This window comes from Homo sapiens, chromosome 5, assembly GCF_000001405.40.
Source record: "Homo sapiens chromosome 5, GRCh38.p14 Primary Assembly".
Taxonomy (NCBI): domain Eukaryota; kingdom Metazoa; phylum Chordata; class Mammalia; order Primates; family Hominidae; genus Homo; species Homo sapiens.
This window is the reverse complement of record NC_000005.10, coordinates 176,901,586-176,923,454: the sequence shown is the minus strand read 5'-3', so window position 1 is coordinate 176,923,454 and position 21,869 is coordinate 176,901,586. Positions and strand designations below refer to the sequence as shown.

General features: G+C 40.5%; 1 protein-coding gene across 15 annotated transcripts in view; it reads left to right on the top strand.

Annotated features, from left to right (window-relative positions):
* UIMC1 (ubiquitin interaction motif containing 1) overlaps positions 1 to 18,450 on the top strand; it is a 117,598-nt gene extending 99,148 nt beyond the window's left edge. For 11 of the 15 annotated variants that reach the window (XM_017009577.2, XM_006714871.3, XM_005265932.4 and 8 more), the window contains 5 exons: positions 12,066 to 12,144; positions 14,761 to 14,932; positions 16,278 to 16,341; positions 17,408 to 17,444; positions 17,963 to 18,450. In XM_017009577.2, coding sequence (XP_016865066.1) covers positions 12,066 to 12,144; positions 14,761 to 14,932; positions 16,278 to 16,341; positions 17,408 to 17,444; positions 17,963 to 18,173 — 563 coding nt within the window. In that variant the 3' untranslated portion in view covers positions 18,174 to 18,450. Of the gene's footprint in view, positions 1 to 4,203; positions 4,286 to 12,013; positions 12,046 to 12,065; positions 12,153 to 14,760; positions 14,933 to 16,277; positions 16,342 to 17,407; positions 17,445 to 17,962 lie in introns of those variants that run through there. The other 4 variants (NR_146149.1, NR_146150.1, NM_001199298.2 and 1 more) reach the window with 4 other exon arrangements.

Below are 21,869 nucleotides of genomic sequence, written 5' to 3'. Positions count from 1 at the left end.
CCTCAGCCTTCCAAGTAGCTGGGATTACAAGCATGTGCCACGACACCCAGCTAATTATTTCTTGAAGTGTATTTTATCTGGTAGAACTACTGGATATGGTTCTAGTCATTTCAGTCTTATTCCTACTGTTTGCCTGATACATCTTTTTCCATTCTTTTAACTGATCTGTGTTTTTATTTTTAAAATGTGTCTCCTGTAGACAGCATACCATTGGGTCATGCTTTTATCCATTCTGACAATCTCTTGTTCTCTCAGGTACTAGGCTTGATAATCTTATTCTAATAGACATAGCTTCTAACTCAAACATCTTACGTGATTATGTTGGTAGTTCCTAAATAGAAATCTTTACAACCCTAAAAAGATAAGCATTGCTGGGTCCATTTACAGATGAGCAAACAAAGGCTTAGGGGCTTGAAGCCTATAAATACCTGCTCTGGCATAGGATTCAAAGGCAGTTAGACTCCAAAGACAGTACTGCAATGCCAGACTGCCTTCTTTGCTGCAAAAAAGCCACAGAGGCCCCCTGCCTACTCAAAATGTAGCGATTTTCTTTCAAGCTTAGAGATAAGCCTGTTCTCTTAAGAGGTGCACTTTTACTGATCTACTTCCTTACTAGTACTTGTCTATAATATTTATAGCTTAATCTTTAACAGCTGAAATTTTTGTTTAAGCAATTTGATAATATATACGTAGAACTTAAAAGTAATTCATATCTTCTGACCCATGAATTAAAGTTTGAAAATCTACTCTAAAAACGTCATCAGAATTTAGATGAAATTGTATAGACAAAGATGGTTTATCAAAGCATTATTTATAACAATGAACAACTTAACCCAATGTTCAAAAACAAGACGAAGTATTATATAAGGATTCAAAATAAAGACTGAAAGAAAATACAGTATTCTGAAATATTAACCATAATTTGGAGGAGACTAAAAGCAGAGAGACAGATGATAAAGCAGTGTTAGTAGAAGTGGACGGACTTGAGAATCTTTTGGTGAGAGAAGCAAACCTTGTGACTGGTCAAGATGAGAGAAGGCAATCTTAACTCAGGTTTCTGGCTAAGCCAATTGTAGGGTACTCAACTTAGAAAGCCCCTCTGAGTAATTCAGAAGATCACTGTGTTGTTTAACTATTGCTTGTACTTCCTTACTGACAACCCAGTTGGTATTTATTTAGCAGCAACTATAACGCAGATACTGTTCTGCAAGCTGAGGGTACAGTACTAAACACAAGTCAGTGTTCTTATAAAGCTTACCTTTTTGTGAGGGAAACAGATAATAAATACAATTTAAGAAAAACAAGGCAAGAAGAGGGGATGGAGAGTGACTAGAACAGAGGAAAAAGGGGGCTCGATTAAAGAGAAAGATCAAGGGAGACTTCTTGAGGTGATATTTGAATAGAGTCATTCTAGGTCAGGGAATAAATACAAAGGCCCTAAAGCAAGAGTGTGTTTGGCATGTTTCTTAGAGCTGCAGGAAAGACACAATGACTGAATTAGATTGAGCGACAGGGGGAAAGGAGAGAAGAAATAAACAGTGGTCAGATCATGTGAGGTGAGGTTTTTGTACTTCATTCCAAATATGATGAAAAGCCATAGGGGGGTTGAGAACGAGGGAATGATGTAATCTAACTCTGGCTACAATGTGGAAAATAATCTATAGAGGGATGGGGCAAAAATGGAATTGAGGAGACTAAGCAGGGGTGGAGGGGAGTGGCTGTTGCATTATTCCAGGGAAGATCTGATGTTTGCTTTGACCATAGAGGTAGCTGTGAGGTAAAGAAGTTGTCAGATTTGGGAATGTTTTGAAGGTTGAACCTACAGGATTTATTGGAGTGTGAGAGAACAAGAAAGACTAAGGTGAAATCAAGGTTTTGCCCCAAGCAACTGGGTTAATGATGACTTCGTTGTTTGAGAGCGGGAACACTGGGGCAGGAACAGGTTTGGAGGAAGAAATTAAGAATTTGGTTTTGTACATAATTTTAAGATGCCCAGTGAATAACCAAATGAAGATGTTGAGCAGACAGCAGGATATACAAGTCTAGAAATAACCTTATGGGAAATATTACTGCATATTTGTATGCTGATGGAATGATCTAAAAAAAGAGGGAAAAATTGATGTTTCAGGAGAGATGATGGCAGGAGGGGAATCCTTAATTAAGCAAGAAGCGTTCAGATTCAGGATCAAATGGAAAAGTGAGCCTTAGATAGCCGTGTGGGCAATTCATTCTGTGCAATAGGAGGGAAGGCAGAGGATATGGGTACAGATGCAGATAGACTAATACTTTTGGTGGTGGAAGAGTGTAGAAGTTCTCTCAAGTACTACTTTTTTCTCATCAAAAAAGTCTGAAAGGTTGGTTTAACATTAGAAAATCAGTTAATATACTGTATCATAGAACAAAGGACAAAAACCACACGATATCTAAATGGACACAGAAAAAGCATTTGAGAGAATTCAATACTCCTTCATGACAATAAAATACTCAGCAAACTAGGAATAGACAGGAACTTCCTCAGCCTGATAGAGGGCGTCTATGAAAAACTCACAGCTAATATCATACTTAATGGTGAAAGACTGAAAGCTTTCCCCAAAATCAGAAACAAGACAAGGATGTTCATTCTTGCCACTTCCATTCAACGTGGTAAAGGAGGTTCTAGCCAGGACAGTTAGGAAAGAGATGAAATAAAAGCCATTCAGGTTGGAAACGAAGAAGTAAACTACTCTATCAGATGACATCTTTTATATAGAAAATCCTAGAGAATCCACTGAAATAAAACAAGCCTTTAGAACTAATAAACGAGTTTAGCAAGTTTGCAGGATACAAGGTCAATATAGAAAATGAACTGTATTTTTGTACACTAGCAGTGAACAATCTGAAAGTGGATTTAAGAAAACAGTTACATTTAATATACTATCAAAAATAATAAAATACTTAGGAATATGTTTGACAAAAGAAATAAAAAACTTCTCTGAGAATTATAAAACATTGTTGAAAGAAATTAAATAAGACCTAAATAAATGGAATGGTATTTCCTGTTCATGGTTTAGAATACTTAATGTTGTGAAGATGGCAGTATTCACCAAGTTGATCTACAGATTTCAAATCCTTTTCAAAATCCCAGCTAGGCTGGGCATGGTGGCTCACGCCTGTAATCCCAGCACTTTGGGAGGCTGAGGTGGGCGGATCACCTGAGGTCAGGAGTTCGAGACTAGCCTTACCAATGTGGAGAAACTCCGTCTCTACTAAAAATACAAAAAAAAAAATTAGCCAGGCATGGTGGTGCATGCCTGTAATCCCAGCTACTCAGGAGGCTGAGGCAGGAGAATCACTTGAACCCAGGAGGCGGAGGTTGTGGTGTGCCAAGATCGCACCATTGCACTCCAGCCTGGGCAACAAGAGCGAAACTCCTTCTCAAAAAAACAAACAAGAAAACCCCACAAAAATCCCAGCTAACTTTTTTTTGTAAATTGACAAGTTGGTCCCAAAATTCATACCAAAATACAAGGGGCACAGAATAGAACAGTCTTGAAAAAGAACGAAGTTAAGAGTTCATACTTTCCAATTTTACAACTTACTAATTAAGACATAGAGGTAGGCATTACAGTTCAGTGGAATAGAATTGAGGGTCCAGAAGTAAAACCATACATTTGTGGGCAATTGATTTTTGAGAAGAATGTCAAGACAATTCAGTGGGGGAAAACAAGGCAGTCTTCTCAATATGTAGTGCTGGGACAACTGAATATCCACTTGCAAAACCATGAAGTTGGACCACTTGTTTATACTACGTATGAAAATAGATCAAAGACCTAAATGTAAGTCATAAAGCTTTTATAGGCAGCTACAGTGGTACACACTGGTAAGTCCCATCTACTTGGGAGGCTGAGGCAGGAGGATCCTTAGAGTCCCACCTGGGCAACACAGTTGACACCTTGTCTCAGCGAGTCAGGGGAACTATCTTAGGGATAAAACTTCACAACCTTAGATTTGGCAGTGGATTCCTAGATATAATACCACAAGCACAAACAACAAAAGAAAAAGATAAATTGGACTTTATCAAAATTTAAAACTTCTGTGCATCAAAGGACACTATCAAGAAAGTGAAAAGACAACCTACAGAATAGGAGAAAATATTTGCAAATCATATGTATGTTAAGGGTTTAGTATCCAGAATATATAAAGAACTCTCTTTCTGTTGCCCAGGCTGGAGTGCAGTAGTGGAACCTTGGCTCGCTGCAGCCTCTGCCTCTCCACCTCAAGCAATCCTCCCACCTCAGCCTCCCAGGTACTTGCCATTGAATCATAGACTTTAAATGGGTGGATTATATGGTACATGAATATATCTCAGTGAAGTTATATTTAAATAAAAAAGAATAGTGATACAGGAATCGGAATGGATATTAGAGTTTTGAGAATAGCAGAGAAGATGTGAAATAGTACCTGGGAGGATGGAAGAATGAACCGACTAGGAAAATATGTCAAGATTGCTAGCAGTAGTGAGGGACCACTTAAGATTTTGATCTTAAATAAAAAGTGAGGCCAGTCAGCACGTTGTATGTGTTTTTGTTCCTGTCACATTCAGCAGATAGGGACACCTAATAAGTAGGAGGGCTGTATTTAACCAAAGTCGGATTGCGCAAGTAAGTACAGTAGAAAGAAGTTGAGGGAATATTCAAGGGGAGTGTTAATATGATAACTATGTAAACTAAGGCAAGAAGGAATGCGAAGATATGACAGGGTAATCGTGAAAAGATGATAGTATAGGATTAGATGTCCTAGTGGGGCTGAAGGGTGATTGGTGTAAGAACATTAGAGAGGGTGAGTTGGGAAAGATAGGTGATGGTGAACAGAGAATGGACACCTGAAATTGAGCTCATCATTAATGATAGGCTCAGCTAGAGTTCTTCATTAGAACCATGGAAGTCAGAAAATGAATTCATTGTTTGCTTACTTCTCCCAGTTATGATACATAGCTGGTACCACTTTAGATGCAGGGGACAGAAATTGACTTATAACATTTGGTGGGTGCCTTAGGGCATTAGGCTTACTCCTCTCTTGGAACCCCACTGGAGAAAGGCTGAGATGGTAGGAGCCATAGGAATTAATAAACAAGAGGTCAGGGAACTGAGAGGCTGGAGTACTGGATGGATCATATCTTGGGTTGAAGTTACAAAAACTGCAACTTCATATGGTTCAGTCTAATATGTAGATATTGAAATCACCAAGAATGGTGGCAAATGGGGATGAGAATCCAGTTGAAGAGGTATGCCAGAGGAGGCTTGGATTTCTTTTGGTGCTCAAGGTAGACAGAATTGAGGCATAATAGGATTGGTCCTGGTTAATCTCATGAAAGAACAGCACTATCCAATGGGAACTTGTGCAATGATAGAAGTGCTCTATAGCTGTGCTGTCAAATATGGTAGCCACATATGGCTATTGAGCATTTGAAATGTGGCTCATGGGACTGAGGAATTCAATTTTTTTTATTATTTTTTGAGACAGAGTTTTGCTGTTGTTGCCCAGACTGGAGTGCAATGACATGATCTCGGCTTACTACTGCCTCTGCCTTCCAGGTTCAAGCAATTCTCCTGCCTCAGCCTCCGAAGTAGCTGAGGTTATAGGCATGCGCCACCATACCCAGCTAATTTTGTATTTTTACTAGAGATGGGGTTTCACCATATTGGTCAGGCTGGTCACGAACTCCTGACCTCAGGTGATCCACCCACCTCGGCCTCCCGAAGCGCTGGGATTATAGGCGTGAGCCACCGCTCCTTGCCCAATTTTAAATTATATTTAATTCTAATTAAGATTTAAATTTAAGTAGCCACATGTCTCAGAAACTGATAGATAATTTGTTTTTTTGTTTTTGTTTTTGTTTTGTTTGAGACAGAGTCTCATTCTGTCGCCCAGGCTGGAGTGCAGTGGTGTAATCTTGGCTCACTGCAACCTCCGTCTCCCGGGTTCAAGCAGTTCTCCTGCCTTAACCTCCCGAGAAGCTGGGGTTACAGGCACTCACCACCAAGCCCGGCTAAATTGTCTATTTTCAGTAGAGACAGCATTTTGTCGTGTTGGCCAGGCTGGTCTGGAACTCCTGACCCCAAGTGATCCGCCTGCCTTGGCCTCCCAAAGTGCTGGGATTACAGGCGTGGGCCACCTTACCTAGCCAATAGTTTGTTCTAATAATAGCCTTTAATTGAGACTGGTCTCTGAGGTCGTTGGTTGTAGGGAGGCAGTGAGCATGGCTGCCTCACTCTGTGCAGGTGGAGCTCGTCTTCCCTTCTTTTCCTTATATCCCACTGAAGAAGTGCTAGGCTGAAAGAGGGGTGATCTTAGCAGGAAAAGACACAACTCTGTGGCTTCCCATTATTTTCTACTGAGGTGGTTTTGAGGTTGAGGGAGACAAACTGAGAAGACTTTAACCACTTGTCATTCTGTAAAAACTCCCTTCTTTGTATATATAATTTCTGGTCTCCTCAAGGAATCATTGTCTTTACAATTTATAGTACTAGGCCATATGTTTTTTATTGTTGATTGTTCCTCCTCTTTGAATTTTGGAAACAAATATGTTGATGTTTATATAGTATTGATAATTGTTCTATAATGCCTAGGCTATTTATTTGTCCATTTTGTTTGTAAAATTTAGTATGGAAACCACTTAAGACTAAGATCTAACCCAAATTGTAGGCTAGCTAGTGGTCACTGGTTCCATGGATGGGTTTAAGTCTTTGGATAAGGCTAAGAAATAAATCTGGAAGAAGAATAATGAAAATTATATAAACAAATAGTGAATAAAACTAATGTTTACTGAGTGCTTTCTGTGGGCTGGATACTCTTACAGTATCTGATATGATTGTTAGCAAAACTCATTAAGGTTAAATGCAGTTATCTCATTCAACAGGTTAGGAAATTGTTACTCAGGTTACAGAACTTGCCTAAGGCCACACAGCTAGTAGAGGCCCAACCTGGACACCTGTTGTCCAACTCTAAAGCCAGTGAGTGCCCTTCACCACAAGGCAATACTGATTATTTGTATCTTAACAGTGCCAAGCCACAGTTCTAAGTACAACTCCTTAAAGCATTTCCCATGCAGTGGAATATAAGCAGCTGAGGTAATGGTCATATGTTTAGTGTTGTCTCTCTCAGCTTTCAGTGATACCTGTTCTCTTCTACCTTTCCCTGATAGTTGTACTCAGACCCCATTGTTCCTTTTTGAAATCTGTGGCTGCTGTCATCAGCAGTTTGGTTTTTGGATATATGTTTCATAATGAATTCTCTGCCTGCAGCTAGTTTAAATAGCTATCTCAACCCTCATAAACCACAAGTACTCCTTCAGAGCAACCTACATACACTTCTCTGCTCTTTTGTAGGGGCAGTAGGTTTCAAAGGAAAAACAGCGGCAAGCCCCAGTCCAGTCCATTGTGATCATAACATTTAATAGAATTACCGTATAGTCCTAACCATCTATCAATATCAAGTCTCTCCCTTCAAATTTTCTTCTACCTGCCCACTTATTTACCACTTACCACTTTTTCTCTTCCCATTCTTTAGCTTCTTATTTTCCAGGAGAGGCAGCCTGCTCTTGTAGAAGAACATATGCTTCTGTAAAGTCAGATTTGTATTGCATTCCTTGTGCTTTTTGCTTTTTTTTTTTTTTTTTTTTTGCTTTGTGACCTTGATCAGGTTACTTAATACTTCATTTACAGTCAGGCGCAGTGGCTCACGCCTGTAATCCCAGCACTTTGGGAGGCTGCGGTGGGTGGATCACAAGGTCAGGAGTTCAAGACCAGCCTGCCCAAGATGGTGAAACCCCATCTCTACTAAAAATACAAAAATTAGCCAGGTGTGGTGGCAGGCGCCTGTAATCCCAGCTACTCAGGGGGCTGAGGCAGGAGAATTGCTTGAACCTGGGAGGCAGAGGTTGCTGTGAGCCGATACCACACCACTGCACTCCAGCCTGGGTGATAAGAGTGAGACTGTGTCTCAAAAAAAAAAAAAATTATTTACTGTAAAATAGAAATAATGATATATTCTTTGTAGGGTTGTTGTAAAGATAAAGATGTTTATAAAGTCTCTGGCACAAAATAGGTCCTCATAAAACAAGAGCTCTTTTTTCCCCTGGAATCTATTGATACAGTTTAATTCAGCAAGTATTTATTAGCATTTAATCTGTCCTAGACTCTGCTGAGGATGCTGAAGAGAAAAAAAAAAAAAAAGAAACAAAATAAAACCCAGAGTCTCTGAATTCAGAAAGTTGCATGGTGTAGAAGGAAGACTGACATATAAGTGAATAGGAACAGAAATGTGGTAAATGCAGTAGTGGTATATGGACAGTACTAGAATCAATTAATTCTTTTTCCATCCCTATCTGTGGAGTGGTTTCCAAGTATTTCTTTTGGAAAAATACGTGATAGTCAAGATGGGGGACAAGTAGAGAAAGAAAAATAAAAAATAGAACTCCTAAAGGATTCTGTAATCTTTGAGGTGCCAGCCTTTTAAGAATGGATTTTAGCAAGGCACTTGATAAAATCTCTCATGAAGTCCTCGTACATAAGATAGAGAAGTATGGGCTGGTTGATAGAATAGGAGGTGGATTTGAGGCTGGTTCTGTCCTGGATGTTTTTCTCCTGCAGTACTTTAATTTTACTTATAAAATCTCTGCATTGGAAGGAACCTTAGATCATTTAATCTGTGCCTGACTATATAATCTGATTCCCCGCTTCTAGTTTTTAATTTGATTTACAGAAAAGTATACCATGAAAAGTATGCCTCCTTCCTCTTCCAGTCTTCAAGTATTCCTGTCATCCTCCGCAGAGGCAAACACTATTACTAGTTGCTTGTGTGTGATCTTGTTTTATTACGCATATCTCTTTACACCTTGGGTTGTAGTTATTTGAGTGTGTATGCTGTCTCCATTAGTAAACTGCACTCTCCTTAAGAGCAAGGACAGTGCCTCATAATTTCCTATATCTCCCCAAATTACTTGCACATTGAAGATTGTCAATAAGTGTTTGCTTAATTATTTAAAGGAAAGTTGGACCAGAGAGAAGACAGGCTTCTCTGGTAACATGTCACAGTTTTGTCCTTGGCCATATCCTTTACAACCATTTTTCCCTAGTGACTTGGATAAAGATGTAGAAAGTATGGTTGTCATATATGCAGAGGACACATAGCTGAGAAGGAGAGCTAATAACATCAGATGACAGTTAAGACTGCAGATGATCTCAACAAATAGGAGTGTTCAGCTGAAAAGAACAGGAACAAATACAAAATCCTGCATTTAAGGGGAGAAAAAAAAAATACCCAGCAACTTAGTTACCAAAGTACAGAATTAAGAGACTTGTCTTGGTAACATTGTATGGTATGGTATGGTGTGGTGTGGTGTGGTATGGTATGGTATGGTATGGTATGGTATGGTGTATGGTATGGTATGGTGTATGGTATGGTATGCTATGGTATGGTATGGTATGGTATTAATTTTTTGAGACGATCTAGCTCTGTCACCTAGGCTAGAGTGCAGTGGTGCTATCTCAGCTCACTGCAGCCTCAACCCTCCTGGCTCAGGCGATCCTCCCACCTCAGCTTCCTGAGTAGCTGGGACTACAGGCAAGCACCACCATGCTGGCTAACTTTTATATTTTTTGTAGAGACGGGGGTTTCACCCTGTTGCCCAGGCTGTTCTCGAACTCCTGGTCTCAAGTGATCTGCCCGCCTCAGCCTCCTAAAGTGTTGGGATTACAGGCGTGAGCCGCTGCACCCAGTGATAACATTTTATTTGAAGATAATTTGGGAGGGTAGGGGATGGATCTTAATTTCCTTTAAGTTCAGTTTGAGCCAGTAGTATACCAGGATTGTCAATAAAGCAAACACAGCCTTGACTGAATCAGTAGAGTATGAGTCCACATGGGGTAGCCCATGGTTCTTCTGTTCTTTTTACTAGTTGGATTGTTTGTTGAATATTGGATTCTGTTTGGGGTGCTACACATATTAAGGAAAACTGACAAATTGGATTGTATATCTAAAAGAGGTTAATTAGGAAGGTAAAACATAAGTATAGGAATCAGATCTAGATTCTATCCTGGGTTTTACTATTTAGTAGTTTTGATAGCATGGTGAAGTCAATTCCTCTTAGTTTATTTCCATACCATTAAAACTGGGGAAAAGTAATAATACCAATCTGGAGGGTCATCATAAGGATTAGAGCTAACCTAGGCACTCGAAGATTTGTCAATCCAAATCTTAATAGAATAGCCATAGTAACTAGGTATAGTTCTTCCTTTGATGATGGTTGCATTTTAGTGGGGCAGAAAACTGAGTAAATCCAAGATGTTGTAATGCAGCTTGTTAAGTGTTCAAAGAGGTGACTTGTGGAAAGGTGGGTAAATGTATTCATATAGTCCCCAGTAAATGCAGATTGAGGCAGATTGCAATTAGAATGGATTTCCCTAGGGGGAAGTGAATTTCCCTCAGTGAAAAGATACAGCCAAGTTGGCCGGGCGCAGTGGCTCACGCCTGTAATCCCAGCACTTTGGGAGGCTAAGGCACGTGGATCACCTGAGGTCAGGAGTTTGAGACCAGCCTGGCTAACATTGTGAAACCCCGTCTCTAATAAAAATACAAAAAATTAGCTGGGCGTCGTGGCGGGCGCCTGTAAATCCCAGCTACTCAGGAGGCTGAGGCAGAAGAATCACTTGAACTCGGGAGGCGGAGGTTGCAGTGAGCCGAGATTGTGCCATTGCATTCCAGCCTGCGTGACAGAGCGAGACTCCATCTCAAAAAAAAAAATAAATAAAAATTTAAAAATACAAATATAAAAAATTAGCCAGGCATGGTGGGACATACCTGTAGTCCTAACTACTCGGGAGGCTGAGGCAGGAGAATCACTTGAACTCGGGAGGCAGAGGTTGCAGTGAGCTGAGATTGCTCCATTGCACTCCAGCCTGAGCAAGAAGAGTGAGACTATGTCTCAAAAAAAAAAAAAAACAAAAAACAGTCAAGACTGTATCATTACTTGTCAGGGATGTTTATAGAAGGCATTTTCATATGAGTAGGAGGTTGATCTAGAAGGTTAGGCAAACGGTGGCCAGCCATGGGTCAAATCTAACCAGATACCTGTTATTGTAGATAAAGTTTTATTGGAACATACTCATTTGTTTATGTATAGCCTGTGACTGCTTTCCTGCTAACAGTGCAGAGTTGAGTAGTTGTGACAGAGACCATATGTCCTACCAAGACTAAAATATTTACTCTCTGTCTCCACAGATAAAGTTTGCTGACCCCTGGACTAGATAAATGCTTCACAACCTAAGTTACTCGTAACCCTGCTAAATTATCTGTTGTGGGGATTTCAGGTGTTAGGAGGAAAGAAGGCAGAGTTTGAAGTGAAATTGTTGTAGTTTTTCTTGTTATGCAAGGAATGAGCTGGAAAACACTTGATTAAATAACCTCCAAGATCCTTTAAGAGACTATTTTATAAACAGATGTCTTTTGGTGTGAGAGACAATGTATTTGTGTATCATTTGGGCTAAAGCCATTTATACCCACTAGAATTGGGAGGTGGTATTAGTGTAGTGAGGAAAGACTGGTTGTATTAACTGTTCTGAGCCACAGTTTTCTCACTGCAGAACTTTTCAGAGTTTTGTAAAGATTGGAGCTCATGTAGGCACTCGGATGGCTATCATTACTATATTTCATAGAGGACCTCACTTGAGTGTGTGTCATACCAGATAGAATTTTGCTTGGGAAAGTGTAAATCCCTCCCTTGAGTGCTGCAAGCTGGGATAGTACACAAAAACCTTTTCTTGGTGTGGAGTAGATCTTTAGATCTCATGGCTTAGCATACAGCGGAATATCTTGTGGCGGACAGAATATTGTCAAAACATTTGTTTTGGTGCAAATGTTACAATCGCTATTCTCAATTCTAGAAAGATTGAGACTTCCCAAACAATGCACTTCTTCCAGTGGGATAAGGTTTTAAACTTTGCTTCTTCCTGTGCATTTTGTCTTTTATATTCAGAGTCTACTGGCAGCTAACTATGTGTATATATATATATTTTTTATATTAAAAGTATTGACTCGGAGACAAAAAGAGGCCAAGACCAAGAGTGACAGTGGGACAGCTGCCCAGACTTCTCTAGACATTGACAAGTAAGTAGGTATGCTGCATTCACGGAGCTCTTGTATAACATACCATCGTTTGGACTGAATAAAAAGACCAATTCCTATCTTACCCTGTATTTCTTTGGCCTGCCAATTGCTTCATTGCTTGGATGCCTGAATTTTCTTTTCTTTTCTTTTCTTTTCTTTTCTTTTCTTTTCTTTTCTTTTCTTTTCTTTTCTTTTCTTCTCTCTCTCTCTTTTTTTTTTTTGAGATGAAGTTTCACTCTTCTTGCCCAGGCTGGAGTGCAATGGCGTAATCTCAGCTCACCATAACCTCCGCCTCCTGGGTTCAAGCGATTCTCCTGTCTCAGCCTCCCAAGTAGCTGGGATTACAGGCATGCGCCACCACGCCCGGCTAATTTTGTATTTTTAGTAGAGGCGGGGTTTCTCCATGTTGGTCAGGCTGTCTCGAACTCCTGACCTCAGGTGATTGGCCTGCCTCGGCCTCCCAAAGTGCTGGGATTACAGGCGTGAGCCACTGTGCCCAGCCCTGAATTTCTTTTTCTTATTCCTAGTCTCTGTCAGTGTAGGTGGCCTCTGTATCCCTTTTTAATACACTAAAAGCAATCCTGCCACCCACTCCACTTCTGCATTGCTCTTAGGTTTCTGTTTTCTTTAATTTGCTTATTGGTATTTGGTGCTCTTTGGGAAGCATTGAGCATTTTGTATAATAGTACAGAAGTTGAATTGCAAAAGGTTGGGCAATATAGAAGACTTTTTGGTTGTGTGTTGCAGCTTGACTGAGAAAGCTCATTCTGAGGAAGGGGTCAGAATCACAATTCTCAATTAATTATTCAGCCCCATTAGGAAGGAACTAGTCTAACTATGGTCTTATAGGTAATAATTGTCAGAAACTAGATTTGCCTGACTCATAAGATCCCCTTGGTTTTAAGAAGCTAAAAAAAATTTTCCAAAGCATGCTATCTTGGACATCAAAGATAGCACAAAGGTGCTTCCTCCTGAAAGTAATGTCATTACCAACAGTAGATTAGAGCAGTTACTAAGCAGAAACTTTTATCTTTGAAACACAGATCTTAGACCCTGAGTTTCAGGGCTGTCTTCCCTAATTTAGTTGAGCAGAGCTGATCCCTTTGGAATCTTACTGTAATGTAGACATTCGTCTAGGAATTCCTCACATTGTATTGCAGTAATTTGGTTTTAAAAAAGAATATTTCTGTATTCCTGGTTAGTCTGAGTTTTTTGAGAGAGATACTTGCCTTAGTTCATGTTTATATCCCCAGCTTCTAATAAAATGTATCTGAGACAGCAATAATAGCTGTTTGTTTAGTGCCTAATATTATGTGCCAGTCATTGTGCTAGGTGCCTTGTTTGTAAGTCTCACTGTAGTTGATTTAAGGTAGTTATTCTTTCGTTTTTTAAGTAAGGAAACTAAAGAGAAATTTTATGTAACTGGTTAAGATCACTGCAGCTAGAAGTGATAAAGTCTGTCCAACTCTGAAACTCCTGCCTCTTATGCAGTACTTCTGTCTCTCATGTAGTAGGGAATTAATGTTTTTTGCATTAATTGATAAACCTTGAAAGGTATACTAGTCTAGCTTTTCTCTTAAGGCAGCATTTTGCTTGCATTCTTCTGGATAATTAAGTATTTGAGAGACTTATTTCTGCTATTTTAAACATCTTCAGAAAAAGTCTTCCTTATAGCTAATCCAAGTCTCCCTTGCTGTAGTTACTGAATAATAATGGCCAGAAAGAGATGTCCAAGATAGCATGCTTTGGAAAATTTTTTTAGCTTCTTAAAACCAAGGTGATCTTATGAGTCAGGCAAATCTAGTTTCTGACAATTATTACCTATAAGACCATAGTTAGACTAGTTCCTTCCTAATGGAGCTGAATAATTAATTGAGAATTGTGATTAAAGGGCCTTGCAGAGGTTCTCACCACAGAGAAAATACTTAATAAATACTCATTTTTTTCTTTTACCCCCAGTGATTCCATTTTTACTGATGCCCAATACACTTTACCTCAAGGACCTACTTTTCCTCTCTTTACCCAAACTCTGCTCTTTTAAAAAAGGTAAAGATAGCTATGCATATAAAATTACGCAAAAGCCTCTGGCAGAACCACATGGCTTTTAGTAACTTCTTAGTTGATGTTGCAGATTGTAGAATTAAGGAAGTCAGCATATAGACAGACTTGATTTGCTAATCAGACAAGTTCATCCACCCTGGTAAAAATGTCAACTTAATTTAATGCTCTTGGTGCTCCCTTTTCTGTTGAAATTTTAACTTCTCTTTGAAAAAAACTATTACACTTAATTTTGGAAGAGTTCGACAGAATATTTTATGTCTGAAGAGCAATCAGCATTGTTTGAGATAGTTTGAAGAGCTGATTTCATTACCATCCCACTGCTGCAACAGCAGGGTACAGAGAAACAGCCAGGGAAAACTGCTAATCACTCAGTCCTTTTGATTGGCGTTGGATTAGTTTTATTGGTGATCCTGCTGAGTGAATCTGCATTGGTTGATATGTCTCCTCCATAGAATAACTTTGCGACGTAAAAACACAATTTGAGACATATCCAGGGGCCCAGAGGCAAAAGCACATCTTAAAACTGTGTTTTCTTCCTTTTTTCTTATTGGATAGGAATGAGAAGTGTTACCTCTGTAAATCCCTGGTCCCATTTAGAGAGTATCAGTGTCATGTGGACTCCTGTCTCCAGCTTGCAAAGGCTGACCAAGGAGATGGACCTGAAGGGAGTGGAAGAGCATGTTCAACTGTGGAGGGGAAGTGGCAGCAGAGGCTGAAGAACCCAAAGGTATGTGTAGAGTGTTTTGGGAAAGGCCACCTAACCCTCCTGGTTGTCAGTTGTAAGAGGCCACAGTTCTGTTCTGGCTTTTCCCTCTTCTCCCTCCCCTCTTCCCTCTATTTATCTTGAAACAAGATTTGTGCTTTTTAAAATTATTTTTCCTTTTAATTTAAAAAGTAATACATGTTCATTGTAGAGAATATGGAAAGTTCAAAAAAATATAAATAATCAGGGGAAATCATCACCTATAATTTAGCTACTCAAAGATGATAACCTTTAATGTATTGGCCTATTTTCTTCCAGTCTTTTTTTCTATGCATTGTTAATGTAATTAACACTATTCTCCCTCTCCCCCCTTCTCTCTCTCAATATATATGCAATAAGCACACACACAACATACTATATATCTAGTACTATGTGTATACTATATTCTGTGTAGTACTCGATATGTAGTTTTCTCACTTGCATTTATGAAAACTTAAGATGTAGTGTAAACATCATTTTGGGTTTTATTTTTAAAAATTACTATTAATGTTTATATCACACAGATGGTCATTTAACCATACACCTATTATTGGACATTTTGGTTCTTTTGTGTTACAAGATTGTATTTAAAACATTAATCAGTCTTTGTACCACTGATTATTTCCTTAGAATACATTTTCTGATACGGAACTATTAGGTCAGTGGATGTACAAATTTTAAAGTGTCTCGAAACCTGCCAAATTGCTTTCCGGAAAGGATATCCAATTTATAATCCCACTGCCAAGAATATATGTGAGATCAACTCTGTCGAACTCCTTAGGAAGCTGCCAGGTCTGGGCCCTGGTCACTGGGAAGGATGGATGTACTTTTGGGGCCTTGTAATTAGAGATCAGGAAGAGCAAGTCTTGGCTTAGAGATGAAAGATAAAGCAGCAGCTCCATATTCTAGGGTTACCGACAAAGGAGTCACTGTACACACTAAAATGGGGAAGCCATTGTCTGTCATGCCAGAAGAAAGAGACCCCTCTCTGTGAATGGGGTGATTTTGAGGCGGAGATTTGGAGTTATGGTTTATAGGTAAGCACTTACTTATACAGCCAGTTTATTCTGGGATCACTGCCTGTAGACACTACCTTAAAATTTATTTTCTATTTTAAATCCATGATACTCTGGGCATAGCGATGTATTCTCTTCATTATAGTTTGCTTTTTCACTTGTGAAACCCTCGTTTATTAGAAAGCAAAAGACTTCCCTAGAGCTGTGGCCCCCACACCTTTTCTCTTCTATGAACACGTGTGATCTGGGCTGTGGAAGTTGTATTTTAGACTCTGACATGAAGTAACCTTTTCATCTGTTTTTCTCTGTTACAGGAAAAAGGCCACAGTGAAGGCCGACTCCTTAGTTTCTTGGAACAGTCTGAGCACAAGACTTCAGGTGAGGACCCCAGGACCAGTTTTCTGGGCTTCTGCCTAAGGCCTTTCAGTGAAGATAGCCATTGCCAGCCCCCTGACTATTTGCTGTGGTTATCTGGGTACACACGTGATCCAGTCAGCCAGCCTTTGAGACTCAATCTAGGTCATCTCTCCTTAAGGAAGTTGGGGCAATATGCTGTCTTTTTCATCCTGTGTTTCATTTCAGGCTTTATAAATCCTTGGATCAGGACAGCCTGTTGAACTCAGAAAAAACACTATCAAAACACAGGGGAATACGACAAGCCCCAAGTATACCTTCTAAAGGAACAGGCACAGTAAACTAGATGTGCAGACATTATTGCTTCCTTCTATTGTTTTGTGCATCATTCATATGTTACCTTTATCTTAGTGTCGCAACCTGTGATCCTGAGCGTTTGTGCGTAGTATTTAGGGAGCAGTAGAGTGGATTGGTTAAGACCATTGCAGGGAGTTAGTAATGCCAAACCTCATAGATTGCAAGAATTGTATCTGGTAAAGCTCCAAACATATTCCCTGGCATAAGTAGGCTCTTGATAAATGTTAGCTGCTATTATTACTGTTGTTATTAGTCGCTATTGTTAAAATTCACCAGATGTGGATGGAAGAGGAGCTTTTGCTTAAGCCTGGTGAGATGTGCTTACCATCTAGTTCTAATAGTTCATTCCCACCAAGCAAATCTGTTGTGCCTTCTGATGACTATAAAAAGGCAGCCTCTCCCAGCCTCATATCCTGCTGTCTCTAGATCACCAGTTTGTGAATCTCTGCAGGTGGCAGATTTCCCTTGGCAACTTCCTTGTTCCTCAAGTCCAGAATTGAAGTAGATTTATTCAGAGGTTGTTCATTCAAAAGTGTTCATCTGAGTGCCCCTGCAGCTGAGTCTGTTGGACACTAATGCTCACCGTCTGTGGGTTTAGGGGATTGGGGATCTGTGCTACCTGGATAGGCCTGATGAGAAGCAGTGCCTAGAGCACGGAAGCAAAAGATCAGTGAGAAGTGCTATGATTACCAACACTACTACCAACATTATTATTTTTTCTTTTATATCACAGATGCAGACATCAAGTCTTCAGAAACAGGAGCCTTCAGGTGAATTGGATTGTGCACTGAATTGTGGCTGTCAGCATTTCTGAAAAGTGCAGGCCTTGTCCTGTGTTCTGTGTGTAGTGTGATACTCAGACTGTTGCAGTAGAAATCACTGTGGAACTATTATGACCTCTCTCTCAGTATGACTCTGTGCTCCCCATTTAGCTAAAGATTGGATAACTCAATTCATTCATTGTGTTAAAACAAACAGAGTGAAAGTTATGTCTTATTCTTCTGTACCTCTCTATCCCCATCCAACCCTGGTTTTCTGACCTGGATTCTCAAGCAGCTTGGGAATTTGGATCTCAGTTCTCATTCTCTCAATGGCCAGCTTTAAGTAGTATATGATTTACCCAGTGACCTCATCTGTGAAAACAGAGTGATGATATGTGGTGGGATTATTACAAAGATTATTTGTACTAATAATCCCCTGATATGTAAAATCCCCTGATACAGTGCATAGCATGTCCTTGATGCTTAGTAGGTGTATATTGAATCTGAATTTTTTTCCTTCTCTCTAGGGTGCCTTCACCAGGGATGGAAGAGGCAGGCTGCAGCAGAGAGATGCAGAGTTCTTTCACACGTCGTGACTTAAATGAATCTCCCGTCAAGTCTTTTGTTTCCATTTCAGAAGCCACAGATTGCTTAGTGGACTTTAAAAAGCAAGTTACTGTCCAGCCAGGTAGTCGGACACGGACCAAAGCTGGCAGAGGAAGAAGGAGAAAATTCTGAATTTCTAGGGTCCAAAAGTTGACAAAACCATTAGTAGGAGGGGTGGGCCATGTTCATTAAGCCATAGTGGTCCCTAGTTCATTGTTGAGCAAGTTTTAGCCCTGCAGTTTTCACCACCAGCACCTACCCAGCATTCTGGTTTTTATGTTTTTTATGATCTATGCAGACAACTGTGTATTCTGTTTTATAACAGTTTGTTTGAATTTACTTACAGTTAAAAAATTTAAATATATTTATGTTTGTACGAAATCTTATTTCAATAGATGGAAATTTTAATTTTTTTTTCCTTCATGTTGCAGGGTTTGGGGTGGGGATACTTTCATTGTAGAGGTAGTTTATTAGACTCATAAATCACATGCTGAATGAATGCCATTACTGATCCTTGACATACCATGTATATATTCACTTAATGTGTACTGCACAATTCCGAACATTGGTTACTCCCTTGACTGTTTCTGACATAATTCTGGGAGGTGCCAGGGGCATTGACTCCCACTACCTATTCTGCTATCCCTACCATTCAGTGACCTGTCCCTTCATCTTGTACTCACACAGTGGAATTCTCAGCCTGAGCATAGAACATTTGAAGGATGTGTCCTGCCATTCTTCCCAGGAATGTGCAAGTGAACACTCTGTTATTAGATGCCTATGCAATTATTTTTTCTAAATAGATTAACCAGTGGGGATGCCAGGCATATTCATCTGTTCAAATCAAGATTGGGTCTCTTGATGCCAAAGGTTAGCAGCAACAGGACATGGCTTCTGTTTTGGTAACATTACTAACATAGCGCACATTCCTCACCGTGTTGCCTAGGAGCTTCCAGTGCAGAACAGAGATGTGGTCTGTTCTCGGTGCATGCCATGTGCAGACTCTGAAGATGAGAGGATGTCAATTGGCAGAAGGAGCTACCTGAAGGAGATGACCAAACAAGGATGTGAAGAATGCTAGTTTTGGCCAAAACTGATTTGAAGTTGTAATGAAAAACTGGGGGAGGTGGCTGTTGACCAGGAAAGGATCTTGGGACAGGATAAACAGGCACACTCAAGACTCTCCTAACTTCTGATTTTGTCCAAAGTTATCTTTTCTTTTAACATGAAAACGAGGTATGTGTTAGACTGGGGAGTTAGCAGATAGCTGGGATGGAAGACAGCACAAACATTAAGGCCTTGTTCCTGCCTAGGTCCCTTTGCACACAACCTTTTGAGTTAGAAGAAGGCAAGATGGCAGTCTCACTGTCTTTTCCTTCCATAGATAATGTCTTGCTGTTGGATGGCACTGACCTAGTGGCTAGCAGCACATAAGAAATAGCTGTTATTTTTTGAGCAACTACTACGGTCCAGGCAATGTATGTGGCCTTCATTTAATCCTCATAGCAACCCTATGGGGTATAGGTATTATCATCTCAATTTCCAGATGAGGAAGCAAAGGCTTAGAGTAACAAATAAGCCACTTTTTGTCCATGGCAGTGGAACCACAGTGCCCCTACTCTTCATTCCTGAAGAAAATGCTATATTTTGACTCCAGTATTGATTATTTTCCTGTTTTTCTTCTAGTGAAAAGTAGTTTATCAGTTATGTCCCATAAGCTTAACTCTCGCTTGTTTTCTCTTTCATTAAATGGCAATTTATTGGAGGTAGCGCTGTATAAACAGGGGACAGTGTGTGTATCTGTTTGCCTGAAGATAAGAAAAGGGAAAGGGTACTTCTGGAAAGTGAATTATTTAGCTTAAAATTGAGCAGTTTCCCTAAAACATGAGTCAGCAGCAGGAGGGTATGGATCAGCCAGACCAGGAACCACAGGCTTAATTATTAGCTAATGGGGAGTCAAGGGAAGAACAGCTACCCACTTCCCCCATCGCCTCCTCACAACCGTCTTGTTTGCCCACAGTCTTATTCTCCCCATGCTGTGATCCTGTGAGAGGAGCATTAGTGAAAGAGTGAAGAGACAAAGTATAAAATGTGTGAGATCAGCCTACATCTGCACCCTGCTTCTGATAAAAGTTAACCTCTCTGAGACCTGGCTTTCTTGTCCATAAAATGGGAAAAGATCATACTAACAGGGTTCTAAGGATTACCATAATGTGGATAAAGCTTTGATCCAGCACAATGTCATCACATAGAAGAATGAGTTAGTGGCAGCAGTTATTAATGTGATGCTAGTCTATGTGTCACAAATGATGTTGCACTGAGGGGTGGAGGGATGGGGGACGGGTGCAGATGCAAGAGGAGATAGTTTTCAGAGGAATGTGTACTCAGGAGGGACTACTCGGGCTCCATCAACCATCAGGCTTCCACAGGAAACTTGGGTCCCAGGCATCTAGAGTTCTCCTAGGGCCCCTGGATTTCTTTTACTTCTGAAAGATGAGAAATAGCTGTTCTGCTGATGCTGCCAACTCACGGAGAGCTGGGAAGCTCCATAAACTTCACAAGCTATTGCCGTAAATTGGAAGAGATAGAGGGGGACTTCTCTTTGTTAGGCGCTGTAGTTGTGCTTTTTCATTTAGTCCTTACAGCAGCCCCAGCAGAGGTTGTGCCTCGCCCATTTCCCCCAGGCATTCGCCATTCTGCTGTATACCCACAGAGTCCTGTTGCAAGTACCTGAGACTCTGCCTGAGGACTTCTCTTGGTTTGTGTTGGCACAAGCTGAGAGTACCAGGGAGTTAGTGCCCCTGGGACAGCTCTCAGCCAGTGGAAGTGGGAGGATAGATACCCCAGCTTCCTCACTCAGTGAGGGACAACTCTAAGGCACATTCTACCTATTTCTCAGGGTTCCCTGTGGGAGTGAACCTCTCTAAGCTCCCAGTAACAATTAACGTACACTTCCTTGGCTTCTTTCTCTTCCTACCTGGCTTCCAGCTCCTCTTCTGTATTTTCCTGATCAGGACTGGGACTAGGGTGATGAGCCTTTATTCTTGGGTTCATCTAAGTGCAAGGTTGGCACCCGTATGAACCTGAGAGGGTCTCTTTACATTCTGTACCCTAGGCATATCATTTGCATTGCCCTGATTCTGGCCCTGTCCTGGATCACTTCCCAAATAAAGTTATTTGCATTCAAATTAGGTCTGCCTCTGGGTTTACCTAACCTAAAGCAAATCCTATGAAGACATCAGTCTCCAAGTTTTATACAAGGAAAACCGAGGCTCAGAGGAATAAGAAATTTGTCTAAGGTCTTTCAGTTGGTAATGAGATGGGATTTTGAAACCAGGTCTGCCTGACCCCAGAGCTGAAGCTTTCTGTACTATAGCACACTACTTCCTACTTCTCATTTCAGTCACAAAACTAATGACTCAAGGGAAATTTCAGGTTTGGATGAGCTCATTTTTGCCTGTGAATCAGGGTAGCTTTGGCCTTAGGTTGTTAGCAGATGGGAATTTGGGGAGGGGAAGGCAGGTAGTAAGTGGATGAGAGGGTTGTAGTTGTCAGTGGAAAGATGGACTAGTGGAAAGACTGCTGAAACCATATGCACCAGGAAGACAGTAAGAGCTTGCTTGCTTCCTCTCAGTTTCAAAAGCCCTGGACTTTTTTTTTTTTTTTTTTTTTTTTTGAGACAGTCTTGCTCTGTCACCCAGGCTGGAGTACAGTGGCGTGATCTCGGCTCACTGCAACTTACCCTGCCTCCCAGGTTCGAGCAATTCTCTTGCCTCAGCCTCCCGAGTAGCTGGGATTACAGGTGCACACCACCACGCCCGGCTAATT